This window comes from Homo sapiens, chromosome 9, assembly GCF_000001405.40.
Source record: "Homo sapiens chromosome 9, GRCh38.p14 Primary Assembly".
Lineage (NCBI taxonomy): Eukaryota > Metazoa > Chordata > Mammalia > Primates > Hominidae > Homo > Homo sapiens.
This window is the reverse complement of record NC_000009.12, coordinates 23,504,232-23,522,526: the sequence shown is the minus strand read 5'-3', so window position 1 is coordinate 23,522,526 and position 18,295 is coordinate 23,504,232. Positions and strand designations below refer to the sequence as shown.

Below are 18,295 nucleotides of genomic sequence, written 5' to 3'. Positions count from 1 at the left end.
TATAAAATTGTCTTTGCATGTGTTGATGCCACCGTCAGGAAGGTCCTTTCCACCTCCCTTCTCCCAGTTCTTCTGGGAATTCCTACGTGGCCTTCCATACCTAAATAATAACAATGATACTAGCAAGCACTTATATGGTACATTCTGTGTACCTGGCAGTACAGGGGGTGGAGGGTGGGGAGGTGGGAATATTTCCTTCAGATGAAGGCAATAAGGGGTTACATTGTCTATAGAGTTTTAAAAAACAATAATAAAACCAAAAAAGGAGTCTACTTTTTCTCACTACCATATGTTGGCAGTTATAAACAATGTCCATGATAAAATACCCCTCCCCACTAAGGCCAGCCTTCTCCCACTGAGCCCTCTATCACCCTTAGTACTCTTGTATGTGTATAGCACCTTCCTAACCATTTACATGTATTAACTTCCATAATTTGTCCCCAGTTTACAAATGAGGAAACGGAAGCACAAAAAGGCTGTGCTAAGGTCAAGCAGATCATACTGCCTAACAGGTAAGTGATGTGGCCAAAGTTTTAATCTGGGCAGTATTGCACCAGTTCACCCACCTAACTACTGAACATATGTTTCTCATTTGTATGTGTATATTTCATACGCATATAAATACCTCCTTGAAGACAACCCTTATCCACCAGGTATAAAATGGCTTCCTGCATGTGTTATACAGCACTCTATTCATATTTCCATTCCAGCACTCCCTGGGCTGCAGGCCGGTAGAATGAGAACTCCCTGACTGGCTGTCCTATAATAAATGCAGAGTGAATAAATGAATGCAATCTTTGGTAACAGAACTAGTAGAATTGTGTATATTATGGTAGATTGGTGGAATGTTCTAGATTTTGGTTTGGAAGTCAAAGACAGCCTTTATTTCAGAATCTGTTACTGATTATCTCTGAACAGGCATTTCATATGTCTGTGTCTTTTTTTTTCCCAGTCTGACTCTCTACAGCAGAAAGTCAACCAAGTATAAGGCTGAGGAGTAGGAAAAATGTTGAACTGTGGGCAGAAGAATAGGGGACAGAATTACATCAATGATTCTTAATAGTGGCAATCTTTATTCAAGCTAAATTGAGCGGATTTCTTTCCCACCCCCCAACATTGCTAACAAGCATTTTTGTAGAAAAAGTTTTTATTTAAGTATAACATACTGTATAAGCACACAAATTATAAGCATATGGTTTAATGAACTACTACAAGGTAAACATATCCATGTGACACCACCTGGATCTAGGAATAGAACAATACTAGCCTCCTGGTGCCCTCCATCCTAGCTGTGTATGGAGCTCTTCTGACCTCTAACATCACAGACTAACTTTCTAATAAATAGAAAACTGTAGTACATGTTATTTTGCTATTAAGTCTTCTTTTACGTAACATTATGTTTGTGAGATTCATCCATGCTGCGTGTAACTGTAGTTCATTCATTTTCATTGCTGAATAGTATTCCACTGCATACATAAATATAATTTATTTATCCATTCAACAACTTATGAATATTCTGGATAAATACAAAGAAAGCCGTATCTAGTGAGCCTTAATAAAATTGCCAAAAAGATCACAGACATATCTATTAACATTTACTTATTCATCCTAATAATACAAATTCTTTTCCCTCTTTCTGGGAACTATTCCTCTTTCCTCACTTTAGCTGACAATTTCTTTTTTTTTAATTATTATTATACTTTAAGTTCTAGGGTACATGTGCACAACATGCAGGTTTGTTACATAGGTATAAATGTGCTATGTTGGTTTGCTGCACCCATCAACTAGTCATTTATATTAGGTATTTCTCCTAATGCTATCCCTCCCCCAGCCCCCTACTCCCTGACAGGCCCGGATGTGTGATGTTCCCCTTCCTGTGTCCAAGTATTCTCATTGTTCACTTCTCACCCATGAGTGAGAACATGCGGTGTTTGGTTTTCTGTCCTTGTGATAGTTTGCTGAGAATGATGGTTTCCAGCTTCATCCATGTCCCTGCAAAGGACATGAACTCGTCCTTTTTTATGGCTGCATAGTATTCCATGGTGTATATGTGCCACATTTTCTTTATCTGGTCCATCATGGATGGACATTTGGGTTGGCTCCAAGTCTGCTATTGTGAATACTGACACAATAAATATACGTGTGCATATGTCTTTATAGTAGCAAGATAAGATCTATAATCCTTTGGGTATATACCCAGTAATGGGATCGCTGGGTCAAATGGTATTTCTGGTTCTAGATCCTTGAGGAATTGCCACACTGTCTTTCACAATGGTTGAACTAATTTACACTCCCACCAACAGTGTAAAAGCGTTCCTATTTCTCCACATCCTCTCCAGCATCTGTTGTTTCCCAACTTTTTAATGATCGCCATTCTAACTGGTGTGAGATGGTATCTCATTGTGGTTTTGATTTGCATTTCTCTGATGACCAGTGATGATGAGCATTTTTTCATGTGTCTGTTGGCGCATAAATGTCTTCTTTTGAGAAGTGTCTGTTCATATACTTTGCCCACTTTTTGATGGGGTCGTTTGTTTTTTTCTTGTAAATTTGTTTAAGTTCTTTGTAGATTCTGGATATTAGCCCTTTGTCAGATGGATAGATTGCAAAAATATTCTCCCATTCTGTAGGTTGCCCGTTCACTCTGATGATAGTTTCTTTTGCTGTGCAGAAACTCTTTAGTTTAATTAGATCCCATTTGTCAATTTTGGCTTTTGTTGCCATTGCTTTTGGTGATTTAGTCATGAAGACTTTGCCCATGCGTCTGTCCTGAATGGTATCGTCTAGATTTTCTTCCAGGGTTTTTGTAATTTTAGGTCTAATATTTAAGTCTTTAATCCTTCTTGAATTAATTTTTGTGTAAGGTGTAACGAAGGGATCCAGTTTCAGCTTTCTACATATGGCTAGCCAGTTTTCCCAGCACCATTTATTAAATAGGGAATCCTTTCCCCATTTCTTGTTTTTGTTAGGTTTGCCAAAGATCAGATGGTTGTAGATGTGTGGTGTTATTTCTGAGGCCTCTGTTCTGTTCCATTGGTCTATATGTCTGTTTTGGTACCAGTACCATGCTGTTTTGGCTACTGTAACCTTGTAGTATAGTTTGAAGTCAGGTAGCATGATGCCTCCAGCTTTGTTCTTTTTGCTTAGGATTGTCTTGGCTATGCAGGCTCTTTTTTGGTTCCATATGAACCTTAAAGTACTTTTTTACAATTCTGTGAAGAAAGTCATTGGTAGCTTGATGGGGATGGCATTGATTCTATAAATTACCTTGGGCAGTATGGCCATTTTCATGATATTGATTCTTCCTATCCATGGGCATGGAATATTCTTCCATTTGTTTGTGTCTTCTTTTATTTCATTGAGCAGTGGTTTGTAGTTCTCTTTGAAGCGGTCCTTCACATCCCTTGTAAGTTAAGTTGGATTCTTTGGTATTTTATTCTCTTTGTAGCAATAGCTGACAATTTCTAAAATATCCACAGTTTCTTATTGATTAGCCAGGGCTGGACACTGAACAATCCAGGCTGGCCATAGTCCTTGTGCTCATGCCTATAATTTCAAGAGTAATCACAATCAAGCTGTTCCTCCAAGATTTTTGACCTTGGATCAGAGAGAGAGAGTGATTATAAGAGACTTTGGAACTGACTGAGGCCATGTTCTTTATTATGAGGAAGAAGTCCTTCTGAAATAGAAGGAAGTAAAACTTATACATGGCTAGATACAGTGTGGAAAGATGGAGAGAATCTCAGTGGTATTCCTGGCTTCCTTTATCCCAAGAGCCCTGCTATACCTTCCTCTTCCTGCTATTAGTCGTTTGATCCATTTACTTCCTCTTTAACTTAAGTTAGTTTAGGTTGGTATGTAGTCCGTTTTCACGCTGCTGATAAAGACATACCCGAGACTGGGCAATTTACAAAAGAAACAGGTTTAATGGACTTACAGTTCCACTTGGCTGGGGAAGCCTCACAATCATGGCAGAAGGCAAGGAGGAGCAAGTCATCTCTTACATGGATGGCAGCAGGCAAAAAGAGAGCTTGTGCTGGGAAACTCCTGTTTTTAAAACCATCAGATCTCGTAAGACTCATTTACTATCAGGAGAACAGCACAGGAAAGACCTGCTCCCACAATTTAATCACCTCCCACCAGGTTCCTCCCACAACACATGGGAATTGTGGGAGTCACAATTCAAGATGAAATTTGAGTGGGGACATATCCAAAACATATCATTTGGTATTCTCTTCTAACCAAAAGAAATCTTGCCGGCATAGACATATTAAAAAGACCAAAATATATAAAATCAATAAATGTGGAGCTGTTCGGTCTCATTGCTGAATCTCACAGAAGCCCTCTTTAAGAAACATTGGGTTCAATGATATCTAAGATCTAGATGTAAATGAGGGATGCCAAAAGTGGTAAGTTTTGTCAAAACAAAACTAGAAAAATTATTAGAATCTTGAATAGCATTTTGTGAGTGGCTCTGGACTCTGGACTCCTGGCCAGCACTTCCTTCAGTGCTGTCCCCACTTCCATACTAAGTAGTCCTCTCCTTGACTCTCTGCACCCCTGAGCCCTGGTCACAGAGTGTTGCTAGTAAAAGATGTATTCGGCTTCAAATGCATGTGCCTAGCACATAGAAGGAACTCAGCAAATATTTATTTTGCGATTGCTCCCCAGTTCAGCACTGAAATACTTAGCTGCAAGTTTTTTCCTCATGCTTTAACACATGTCTACTAATAGCCATTTCAGAGTCTCTTAATTCTTCTGAAGTCCATATCCTCACTCAGTGATAAATGATTCTCTATTCCGTTTTTAATGTTTACCCCTGTTGCCCTTCCCTTCAGCTCAAAGGAATCTGTATCTTTATTTTTCTCTAAAGCTAAATCCTATCTGAGAATGATGTTGCTTTATTTATTCCTTCTCTCCGGTAGCTTCAAACTCTTTCCCTGTGTAGACTTCCAATCTGTATGTTTTTCCTTCACCTTGAAAGAAAATCTTAGCATGATCTTGGTACCCTCCTGAGCTACCATCTTATTTCTTTTCCTTTACGGACACATTTATTGAATAAGAAGCTCAAGAATATACTGATTATCTGTCTTGAAACCCCTCTACCTATTTCCAAGCTTATTCATTTTACTTCCTTGCTTGATCTTTGCCTCAAATCCTGGCATTTCTTCTTTCTGTCCCCTAACTCTGAACCCTGAGCATTTCTGAAAGTTCAGCCTGGTTTCTGGCCTCTTTCTCTTGCTACAAATGTCTGTCTGCTTCTTGGATAACATCTATAAAAATAATGCCCAAATCTATACCATCAGCCATGTTCTCTCACCTAATTTCCAGCTGTGCTGTCTTTAATTCCTGCTGAAGATCCCCACTTGGCTGTTCTATTTTCTCCCCTCATATGATCACTTGCCAAGCTGAGCTCATCCTTTTCCTTCCATCTACACTGGGCTCAGCATGCTGTACCTTTCCTTCATCAATAACACCAGCATTTCCCCAATTAGGCAGGCTTGAAACTCCATCAGCATTGACAGTCCCTGTCTTTCATTACACATGGTATTCAGTCACTGTGACTTGTGGAGATTTTTCTTTGAAAACACTCTAACCTGCATGTGTTTTCCTTTTTCTTACTTCCCTACCAATCCACAATTTATATTAGCTGTCCCCATTACAGAGCTCATAGAGAAACCTGGCATCTTCCTTTTCCCATGTTTTCCCTCCTCAGTGGACATGTAACTTCTCTCTCTGAAAGGTATTTCTAGCACTTTGCTATTTTCAGACCAAGGTAACTGATCAACATGAAATCTCGGAATGAGCAAGTCTTCCTCAGGCTCTCTCTACCAGATCAGACCATGTCCCACGGGCTCTTTATAACTTCTCGCTTAGAAGATTCTCCCCAAGGGGGGTGTATTCTAAAATCAGAATTTTACAAAATCAAAATACCTTAAACACATTAAATAACAGCCATCATTCTCAGGTAGAAATGCAGAGATGATTTCCATGCATCCATGTTTCAGTACTCAGAAAAGGTGACTACTTATTTCTCTATATTATAAGGAGTTTAGGGGCTCTGTTTGCTATTTTCCTTAAACCCTGTAATATCTAATTCAGGATTTTGCGTATAGTAAGAATTTTAAACATTTTAATGAATGAGTGGCTGAGAGGGCTATATAATCAGCTCAATAACACATTATTTGTAAAAAAAAAAAAAAATCACTTCCCAATATTTAACTTTATAGGACTCCAAAAGTCAACCTTTGAGGTAAGTAGGACGTGTTATTTTTGCTATTTTCTGCTGCGGAATTTGAGGTAAAGACATGTCGTGGATTGACCCCAGTCACAAAGCTGTTTGGTGGCATGACCAGGCCCAGAACTGATCTGCTTTCTGCAACCCAGTGTCTAACCAGGTCAGAAGAAGTGGTTTTGAAAATAATAATATGTAGAATCAAAATCTCTAAATTTGAATTTTCTCCCTTAGAATATTTGGTGGGTTCATAAATATTTACAAAATATTTTTTTGTGTGTGTTTTAAAGTAAAGCTAGTCAATTATTTCTACATGAAATTCAATTGTTTCTTTATTTGTGAGAGAAAAACAACTTACCTAAATTTAGATATTTTATTTGCTGTTATTTTATAATATTACCATACAATTTCCAAGTGTTAGGTAATATTATAAAATAACAGCAAATAAAATATCTAAATTTAGGTAATTACATATTTAGATCTGGAAGGGAATGTTAGAGTTTGTCTGGAATGATCTCATGACAGTGCTCCCTTTTTTTTGAGAGGGAGAGATGGAAAGGGCCTTAATGTATAAAATATGCCATTTCTTCAAGGGGACTTAAAAGGTGAGGCACTTGAAAGATGTGAATTGAGCTATACTAGGAAACTCTGTGCTTCCTTGGCTGATAATCTTTCCACACGGGCCCTTTGTTTGTCCTGTGACCTTTGTCTAGCATCCCACTACAGACAGTACCACTTGGGAATTACCTTAGTTCAGATTTGTCTTAGGAAAATTTGCATTTGCCTCCCTGGCAATCCAACTCCCTTTGTTTTTTCTATCCTAGACATTCTTCAAAATTCCTGGTCCATGGATATCACTTTGCTTTTAAGGATGGGTTACTGTTCTTCATGTGGGCCAAGCTCACATCTGCTCTAGGCCTTTGCACTCGCTATGTGCTCTACTGGGAATATTCTACCCCAGAGATTTTTGCAGATCTGGATCTTTGGATCATTCAGGTCTTTGCTCACACATTATCTCCTCTAAAAGGATTTCCCTGGCTGCTACATATGAAATAGTCCCCCAACCCTCTTCTACCAGTCACTCACAATCATAGTATTCTGGTTTAATTATTTTGTTGAATATATCACTATCCACAATTATCTCACTGACCTATTTGTTTGCTTGCTTATTGTATTTTTTTCTCTTCTCCCCCGGCTTGACTTTAATGTAAGTTCCATGAGATCAGTGACCTCATGTTCACCACGTATTTTATTCACCACTTTAGCAGTGACCTCATGTTCACCACATATTTTGTTCACCACCGTAGCACCTACAGCATAGTAGGAGAGCCTTAGATATTTGTCAGATGAATGAAGGAATCATGTTTACAAAGCATTTTTTTTTTCTGTAACTTCAAGGGATTTGGGATATTGGGAGGTAAATCTGTGTACTCAGTCTATCATATTGGTTCATTTTCTTTCCTCCTTAATACATAGGATTTTGGCACCATTGGTAGTCACTTTGACATGTCAATAATGATAATTGCAAAGAAGACTGTTGTTCCAAGTAATGGATAACACAGCATCTGAACCTACCTGGATACTTTTTCAATATCTAAAGAATTATGTTGTATAAAAAGATGCTCGAAGCCCAGAAAAAATAAAAGATGAGCACTTCTGGAAAGTAAGCAAAGTCCCATTTACATACTTTCTTCTCATCCCTTCCAAAAAATGCTCCTGCTTTTTAGTCATTGGATGTGGAATATGATGGTAGTAAGGGCTACTGTGAAGAGGATGTTATGAAAGTGTGCATGTTTGAGAAGGAGTTTTTATCTTGTAAATGACTGTGTCATAATACCTACTCTGAGCTGGGCTTAGGCTACAGTCTTGCCAGCTTCTGTGATACTGGCAGGCATTGTCGTGCCGTTACCTTTTCCTAAGGCTTTATGAGCCCGACAGGTCTTTGTCGTTTTCTTGGTTACCCTGGTTCCCAGAGAGGCCAAGGCAGCTTTTTGGAGGGCAAAGGGAACAGGGGAGGCTCTTTTATAATCTTCAGAACCACTCTGATCAGATAGGTATTATTAAAACCAATTTTCACATTAAGGGAACAGACTCAGAGGTTTTGCAACTTGGCCAAGGTTTTGTTGCTAATAAGTGACACAACTGGGATTTGAACCTCAATCTATCAGATACCAAAGCTTATATTTGCCGTATGTTGCACCATTCAGCAGCATCCCTATCTAGGGAGATGAGGAGTTCACTCTTTCTAATTTATTATCGATTAGCTTAAATTGTTGGAAGGCAATTTCAGATACTGAACCAAAATCTGCTTTTTATTTTTATATAAAATTGCCCTGTGGGAGTTGTAGCTAGAATGTCCACCCTTTCTTTTTCCTGACAATCACTTGCAGATACTTGAGTAAAACTCTTGAATATGATAGTTAAGTATGAATTCATAAAAAGGCAAACCTGCAGAAGAATCATAGCATTTGGATTGGCCAAAATGAGAGAAACACATTATAGGCAATCAAAAGTGATAATAGAAAGATTTGTTGAATGCTTATTATGTGTCCAGTATTGTGCTACTCACTTTCTACACATTATCTCAAGTAATTCTCATGATGATTGTGCAGTAGATGGATGATGTTCTCATTTTGTAGATGTAAAAACAGACTCAAGAGATGTGAGTTAATCCAGTTCACCCAGGTACTAAGTGATGGAGATTTGAAACCAGACTTATGTGATCCTAAAGAATGTGTTTTCTGCACTAGTCTAAGCTTGTGTTTTGGCTACATAAATTAAGTTACAAAAACAGTGCTATCTGTTTATCAGTTTGAATTTACTACAGGACAAGTCTGAAAAATACCTTATTGTTTTTCAGTTACTATCTTAAACTTGTTCTGCAGAATTACTCCATTTTTGTCCTCTGTTAACATTTTAAGAAGATTCCAGTTCTTTTTGGACCTTTTTAGTTGTAATGGAGCCCAGCCCATGTAAGTCTAAAATTCTAATCTCCTTTTGTTTTCCTCTCCCTCTCAGACCTATCAAATATAGCCAGTGACTTGTAGCAAAGAGTATGGTCTTCTAATTTACTCTATTTCCCCCATCTGTTTTTCACAGGCCTTTGAGGCAGGGAGCAGGGAAATGGTGAAAGTCAAGTGACTCTTAGCTTGCGCTGTTGTCATCCTCTCTGGACTATTGCTACATTTCTAGGTAACTCTGATTAGCTACTGATGCTATCTGTAAGGCTGGCATCTATCCTTGGGCTAAATTTTGGGAAATGAATGAGAAAAGGAGGCATAGTTAAGGTTTGGGTGCCAGGGAATATGATATTGATGTACATGGACATGCTGGAAGAAAGTGAGCTGGTTCAGGGTAAGCATAATCCAACTGAGCATCATAGAAGCTTCTACATGGTGACTAAAATGGAAATACTGTCAGCTTTTGCTTTATGGAACTGATGCGCTCCAGCTGTTCATCCTAAAATGAATCCAATTTTCCTTGTTAAATGCTGTTATAAAATCAAGGATGTATCCCCACAAGGAAAAAAGAAAATCCTCAATGGACTCAATTAAAAACTTTTGGTGAGATATAGTTGAAATGGTGGCCAGCTTCATAGGCCCTATGGGATTTGTTGTCCCACTTAGTGGTTCACTTTCCTTTGCTGTGATTTTTCAACTCTTTGGTCTCCCCTAGGCTGTCAGGCCCACTCCTGCTCCCTTTGGGATAGAATGTTAGTGCAATGTCTATTATTGGAGAAATGAGTGCATGGTTGCTAATACACTGGAAATTTTCTGACTGGCTATAGAAGATGTCACATTTGCATTTAAGTTTTACACATTTACTCCATTGCCATATCTCACCTTTGGAACATTTCTAAAAATAAGACAACCTACAGAGCATCCATGAGGGACAACAGTGACCTGTATCTCTGTATCTTTACACGAATAAATATCCTCCAAAAAAAATCTATAGATATGGCATGTTATGTTTCATCAGACTCTTAGTTGTTCTAGAGATTTGGCATTATTTGTGTCTATATAATACCTATTGGCCTGTTTATTATCAAAGAGCTCTCTTTTGAGGTAGTTATTTAAAGATCTAGTTGGGCAAATGGTGAGTTACATCCCTAACTCTGCCCCTTGAGCAGTTGGATTTTGGACACCATGGGAAGTTGCTGAGGTTTGGGAGGGGATCATGCATGGAAGACACCAGGAGATCGAATAACCTAGGAACATTTTGGGAAAGAGAAGAGGCGTAAGGAGGTAGGGAAGGGCTCCTGGCAAAGACAAAATTGCTTTAGAAATATTTCTGCACTGGTTTCTATGTGGGAAACCTATAATACCAATCTTGTTGAAAAGACTGGGTAGAATCACCTCCTGAACTCTCAATTTATAGTACCAACACTTTCTCTAACTTTGTTACAGCTGAAGGAAGGAGTCATGTTGATACAAAACACTATTACAGCTCTTGTTGAAAAGAAGAAAAGGATTTTCACAAATGCTTCCCTTCTCTTTTATTGTCACTACCATTTTTTTCCCTAGACTACTCTCATTCTCAGCCCACGTAGGAAATCAGAAGATAATTTAAAATTAAATAATGATGGCTCAGAGCTTAAAGCACTTAAAAAAGAGAAGAAAGAAAAGCATCACATCTTGACAGTGCTGGGAGTGATGGTGGAAAGCTTGCCAAGGAGGCCCGGAAGAGTGGTTGGAAAGTGAGCTTTTGGCATTTTGTGAGACCATAGAGCTCCTGAATATATTATCCTTTCTTATGCCATCGAGTAATGTTTGAGTTCATGGGAACCTATGTTAATGAGTTGAAAAGAATGGAAAGAAGATACAGATAGAATTAGTGAGTTAGGAAAATCATCTGAATCCTTGATTTACCAGTTACTATCTTGTAATACAATCCTGTTAAGCATTTATTTCTGTACCTATAACAATATCTTCATAGAATATCTATGAGAAATAAATTAAATTATATACATGCACATTTATATACATATATACATCTATGTTATATATAGCATATATATGTTATATATGTATGCTCATGTACATAAAACACACCATACACATACAATTATTAGCTCAAAGGTTGACATATAAAAAATTCCTTATAAGTAATAATAGTTTTAACTATTTTTATTATAGGTTATAAAGCGAGTTCTTCAGTAGCTTTAGCTTTAGATCAACTTGTTCATGTGTGATGATGTGCAGATCACTAAAATGGGCCATTCCACTTATCATCTTCCATTTCTTTTCAAAGTTATCTGACTGTTAGAAATAAAAAGTGCATAGGCATCAGAGTCTGACAAATCAGAATTTAAATTTGTGCTTTGCCATCTATAAGCCATAGAACCTGTTGTAAATACCTCTCTGAATCCCAAAGTCCACATCTGGATAACGGTATTATTTTTTATTTCTTAGAGTAGCTGGGAAACTTAATGAGGTGAAAAGTATGTAACGGTGCCAAGCACATTGCTTGGCATTATAATGTATAATAGCCAGGGGTTGGCAAACTTTTTCTGTCAAGGACTGGATATTAAATATTTTAAGCTTTGCAGACCTAACTGCCCAGGTTGGCTATGACAGCATGAAAGCAGACAGAGATGATACAACAGCATGGCTATCTTCTAATAAAACTTTATTTTTTAAAAAGTGAGCCAGTTTTGGCTGGGTGCGGTGGCTCATGCCTGTAATCCCAGCACTTTGGGAGGCCAAGGCAGGTGGATAACAAGGTCAGGAGATCTAGACCATCCTGGCTAACACGGTGAAACCCCATCTCTACTAAAAAATACAAAAGAACTAGCTGGGTGTGGTGGCAGGCGCCTTTAGTCCCAGCTACTCGGGAGGCTGAGGCAAGAAAATGGTGTGAACCCGGGAGGCGGAGCTTGCAGTGAGCCGAGATCGCGCCACCGCACTGCACTCCAGCCTGGGGGACAGAGCGAGACTCCGTCTCAAAAACAAACAAACAAACAAACAAACAAACAAAGAAAAACAAAAAGTGGGCCAATTTTGGCCTATGTTCCATAGTTTTCAAATCCCAGCACTTAATCAATATTAGTTTCTTCCCCACTTCCACAATTTGTCTTGTCTGAGATTTAGGATTTTTTTATATGTATAATGGAGAAAATAGGAGAAAATAGTATCTGTCAAAGTTTATTTACTGAGCATCTATTGTGTGCCAAGAACGGAGTCAAATGCAATGAACAACAAAGTTAATAAGATTTATTTCTACGCTTGATGGGCTTAAAGGATAACAGAAGGTGGTTACTTAAGGTTGGTCATTTTAGCCATAGAATGGCTTAATAATACTTATTTCATGAAGTTATGAGAATGAAATGAATAAAATAAAGTATATTTTAAGTGTAGAAGTGGTTCCAGCCATAGCAGAGATATGATTATTGGACCTTACATTTTGGTGTGAAGAACTGTATAACTGGATAACATGTATGAAAAAACTATTCTCAGATATTAGACAATAGATAGCACAGGGCTGTGATGCTTGAGATAAGGAAACACCACATTTAATTCTTACTTTTTTGCCTAGGACCATTATTCATAACAAAAACCAACTCAAAATGGATTAACGACTTAAACATAAGGCTGGAAATGGTAAAACTCCTTGAAGAAAACATAGGAAAACGTGTCTTGACATTGGTCTGGGCAACAAATTTTTTTGGATATGACGACAAAAGCACAGGTAACAAAATAGATAAATGAGATTGCATCAAACTAAATGGTTTCTGCACAGCAATGGAAACAATCAACAGAGTGAAAAGGCAACCTAAAGAATGAGAGAAAATATTAATATTTGCAAACCATATATCAGATTAAAAAAAAAAAATCCCAAACCCAAATAACCTGATTTAAAAGTAGGCAAAGGACCTGAAAAGCCATTTCTCCAAAGAAGACATATTATGACCACCAACTATAAGAAAAGGTGCTCAGCATCACTAATTGTGTTAGTCTGTTTTCACACTGCTGATAAAGACATACCAGAGACTGGGAAGAAAAAGAGGTTTAATGGGCCTTATAGTTCCACATGGCTGGGGAGGCCTCAGAATCATGGTGGGAGGTGAAAAACACTTCTTACAGGGTGGCAGCAAGAGAAAATGAGGGAGAAGCAAAAGCGGAAACCCCTGATAAACCCATCAGATCTTGTGAGACTTATTCACTGTCATGAGAATAGCATGGGAAAGACTGACCCCCATGATTCAATTATCTCCCACTGGGTCCTTCCCACAACGTGGGGGAATTCTGGGAGATACAGTTTAAGTTGAGATTTGGGTGGGGACACAGCCAACCCATATCATTCTGCCCCTGGACCCTCCAAATCTCATGTCCTCACATTTCAAAACCAATCGTCTCTTTCCAATGGTCCCTCAAAGTCTTAACTCATTTCAGCATTAATCCAAAAGTCCACAGTCCAAGTCTCATCTGAGACAAGTCAAGTCCCTTCTGCCTATGAGCCTGTAAAATCAAAAGCAAGCTAGTTACTTCCTAGATACAACGGGGGTACAGGTATTGGGTAAATACAGCCTTTCCAAATGGGAGAAATTGGCCAAAACAAAGGGGTTACAGGGCCCATCTAAGTCCAAAATCCAGCGGGGTCATCAAATTTTAAAGCTCCAAAATGATCTCCTTTGACTCTAGGTCTCACATCTAGGTCACATTGATGCAAGAGGTGGGTTTCTGAGGTCTTGGGCAGCTCTGCCCCTGTGTCTTTTCAGGGTACAACCTCCCTCCTGGCTGCTTTCATGGCTGGTGTTGAATGTCTGCAGCTTTTCCAGGCATAAGGGGCAAGCTGTCATTGGATCTACCATCCTGGAGTCTGGAGGATGGTGGCCTTCTTCTCACAGTTCCACTAGGTAGTGCCCCAGTAGAGACTCTGTGTGGGGGCTCTGACCCCACATTTCCCTTCTGCACTGCCCTAGCAGAGGTTCTACATGAAGGCCCTGCCCCTGCAACAAACTTCTCCCTGGGCATCTAGGTGTTTCCATACATCTTCGGAAATCTAGGCAGAGGTTCCTAAACCTCACTTCTTGACTTCTGTGCACCTGCAGGCTCAACACCACGTGGAAGCTGCCAAGGCTTGGGGCTTCCACTCTCTGAAGCCACAGCCCAGGCTGTGTGTTGCTCCCTTTTGGCCACAGCTGGAGCAGCTGGGACACAGGGCACCAAGTTGCTAAGCTGCACACAGCATGGGGACCCTGGACCTGGCCCACAGAACCACTTTTTCCTCCTGGGTCTCCAGGTCTGTGATGGAAGGGGCTGCCTTGAAGACCTCTAACATGTCTATGGTCTTGGGGATTAACATTAAGCTCCTTGCTACTTATGCAAATTTCTTCAGCTGGCTTTAATTTCTTCCCAGATAATGGATTTTCTTTTCTATCACATAGTCAGGCTGCACATTTTCCAAACTTTTATGCTCTGCTTCCCTTATAAAATTGAATGCCTTTAACAGCACTCAAGTCACCTCTTGTATGCTTTGCTGCTTAGAAATTTCTTCTGCTAGATACCCTAAATCATCTCTCTCAAGTTCAAAGTTCCACACATCTCTAGGGTAGGGGAGAAATGCCACCAGTCACTTTACTAAAACATAACGAGTCACTTTGCTCCAGTTCCCAACAAGTTCCTCATCTCCATCTGAGACCACTTCAGCCTGGACTTTATTGTCCATTTCGCGATCGGCATTTTGGGCAAAGCCATTCAACAAGTCATCTCTAGGATGTTTCAAACTTTCCCACATTTTTCTGTCTTCTCCTGAGCCCTCCAGACTATTCCAACCTCTGCCTGTTACCCAGTTCCAAAGTCGCTTCCACATTTTCAGGTATCTTTTCAGCAACGCCCCACTCTCAGTACCAATTTACTGTATTAGCCTGTTTTCACACTGCTGATAAAGACATTCCAGAGACTGGGAAGAAAAAGAGGCTTAATTGGACTTACAGTTCCACATGGCTGGGGAGGCCTCAGAATCATGGCGGGAGGTGAAATGAGGAAGAAGCAAAAGTGGAAACCCCTGATAAACCCATCAGATCTCGTGAGACTTATTCACTGTCACGAGGATATCATGGGAAAGACCTGCTCCTATGATTCAGTTACCTCCCCCTTGGTCCCTCCCACAACATGTCGGAATTCTGGGAAATACAATTTAAGTTGAGATTTGGGTGGGGACACAGCCAAACCACATCACTAATCAACAGGGAAATGTAAATCAAAACTACAATGAGGTATCACCTCACACCTGTTAGGGTGTTATTATCAAAAGATAAAAAGTAAGTCTTGGTGAGGATATAGAGAAAAGGAAATTCTTGCATACTGTTGGTGGAAATAGAAATTTGTACAACCACTATGGGAAACAGTATGGAGGTTCCTAAAAGTAATAAAAATAAAAACTACCACAGGATCCAGGAATTTCGCTTCTGGGCATATATCCAAAGGAAATAAAATAACTATCTCAAAGAGATATCTGCACTCCTGTGTTCATTGTAGCATGAAGCATTATTCATTATACCCAAGATATGGAAAAACCTGTGTCCATTATGAATGCATGGATAAAAAAATAAGATGTATATACATATATGTGAGATATACATATTAGGAAAAAAAAGAAACCCTGCTACTTGCAACAACATAAATCAACACGGAAGACATTATGCTAACTAAGATAAATCAGACACAGAAAGAAAAAAGCTACATGTTAGCATTTATACGTGGAATCAAAATAGTCAAACTTGTAGAAGCAGAGAGTAGAATGGTGGTTTCCAGAAGCTGCAGGGAGAGGGAAATGGGGAGATATGGGCTAAAAGGTATAAAGCTTCGGTTATGCAAGATGAATGAGTTTTGGATATCTAATATAAAGCATTCTGTCCATAGTTAACATTATTTATTGTATTGCATATTTGAAATTTGCTAAGAAGGTAGATCTTAAGTGTTCTCACCACACACATGTGCACAAAGAAAAAAATGATAATTATGTGTAGTGATAGATATATTAATTATCTTGTTTGTAGTAATCATTTCACAATGTTCACGTATATGAACACATCAAATTGTACACCTTAAATATAAACAATTTTATTTGTATTATACCTTAATAAATCTGAAAAAAAGACTATGTATATATGATGGGCCATTAAAAAGTGTTGTAAATTTAAAATTATCAAAATATCTCAGTATGTATTCTCTGTCCATAAAATAACTAGATTAGAAACTAATGTCAAAATATCTGCACAATTCTCTTGAACTCCTGGTCTCAAGCCATCCTCCTGCCTCAGCCTCCAGAGTAGCTGGGGCTCCAGGCACGTGCCAATGTGCCTGGCTCAATTCTCAAATATTTTGGAATTAAGCAACACAATTTTAAGTAATCTATATAACAAATAAAAAAATGATAGGGATTATCACAAAATACATTACTAAATGATAATAAAAACATAAAGTATCAAAGTTTGTGAGATACAGATGCAACATTGTTCAGATGGAAATTTAAAATATTAAATTATTATATTACAAAAAGAAGAATCATATTAAATTAACCATCTAGGTTTGCACTTTAGGAAGAGAGAAAAAGAAGAGTAAACCAGGTATGGTTTTGTGCACCTGTAATCCCAGTTTCTCGGGAGGCAGACCACTTGAGCCCAGGAGTTTGAGTTCAGCCTGGGGAATATAGTGAGGCTGCATCTTAGTAAAAAACATAGTGGAAAAGAAGAAGAAAAAAATAGTAAATTATACCCAAAGTAAATTGAAGAGAAGAAATAATAAATAATGAAAATCAATGAAACAGAAAATGAGCAAACATTAAAAAAAATCAGTGAACCAAAAAATCAATTATCTGAGAAGATCAATAAAATTGAGAAGTGACTTTTCACAACTGGGATTTTGAAAGATAATTGAGACTTAACAAATATGATTGGATTGTGTATTTGCTTTATATTCCAAGAAAGTTACATATCTAATACTACTAGTTTAGATCAATAGGATTTTTTTTTTTCATTTTACATGGTAGATACCCTTAGGGCATTCAGGCTTAATTCTTTCATGGAACCCCGGTTGAGAAGAGTTGCCCTAGCTATACAGATAACAATTTGAAAAGAAAATAAAAATACAAATTACCAATAAAAGAAATGTTGGAATCACTCTGTAGTGCTGTAGGCATCAAAAATTAGTAAGAAAATACTGTGAGTAACTTTATGCTCCCAAATTTAAAAACTTAATTTATAACTGTTAAAGAAATTTAATTTGTAATTTAAAATATACCCATAATTGGCTGGGCACGGTGTCTTACACCTGTAATCCCAGCGCTTTGGGAGGCTAAGGCAGGTGGATCACAAGGTCAAGAGATTGAGACCATCCTGGCCGTGGCCAACATGGTGAAACCCTGTGTCCACTAAAAATACAAAAATTAGTGTGGTGGTGGGTGCCTGTAGTCCCAGTTACTCAGGAGGCTGAGGCAGGAGAATTACTTGAACCCAGGAGGTGGAGGTTTCAGTGAGCCGACATTGTGCCACTGCACTCCAGCCCGGCAACAGAGGCTGGAGTGCAGAGACTCCATCTCAAAAAAAAAAAAAAAAAAAAAAAAAAAATATATATATATATATATATATATATATGTGTGTGTATATATATATATATATAATACACGTATTATACGTGTATTATACGTATGTATTACTATACGTGTATATATGCATATATATGTATATATAATATATACGCGTATATATTATATATGTATATATTATATACGCGTATGTATATTATATATATATATATAATATATACACTTATATATAATATATGTATAATATATACATGTATATATAAAATATATACATATATAATATATGTATATATTATATATGTGTGTATATAATATATACATATATTATATAATATATATACATATATGTATATAATATACATATATGTATGTAATTATACATATATACACATTGTATATAATATACATATAAGTATATAATATATACATGTATATATTATATATATACATAATATATATATATATATATATATATATATACCCGTAATTCCAGAGCTAGGTTGCTTATCTGGA

The 18,295-nt window shown here is 37.9% G+C and overlaps 1 long non-coding RNA gene across 1 annotated transcript in view; it reads left to right on the top strand.

The window, feature by feature from the left end:
- LOC101929563 (uncharacterized) overlaps window positions 1-18,295 on the top strand; it is a 171,709-nt gene that overhangs the window by 149,873 nt on the left and 3,541 nt on the right. The window contains exons 22-27 of the long non-coding RNA NR_121602.1: window positions 445-512; window positions 7,712-7,898; window positions 9,096-9,207; window positions 9,335-9,427; window positions 10,759-10,931; window positions 12,770-12,922. This is a non-coding gene — a long non-coding RNA (uncharacterized LOC101929563). The remainder of the gene's footprint in view (window positions 1-444; window positions 513-7,711; window positions 7,899-9,095; window positions 9,208-9,334; window positions 9,428-10,758; window positions 10,932-12,769; window positions 12,923-18,295) is intronic.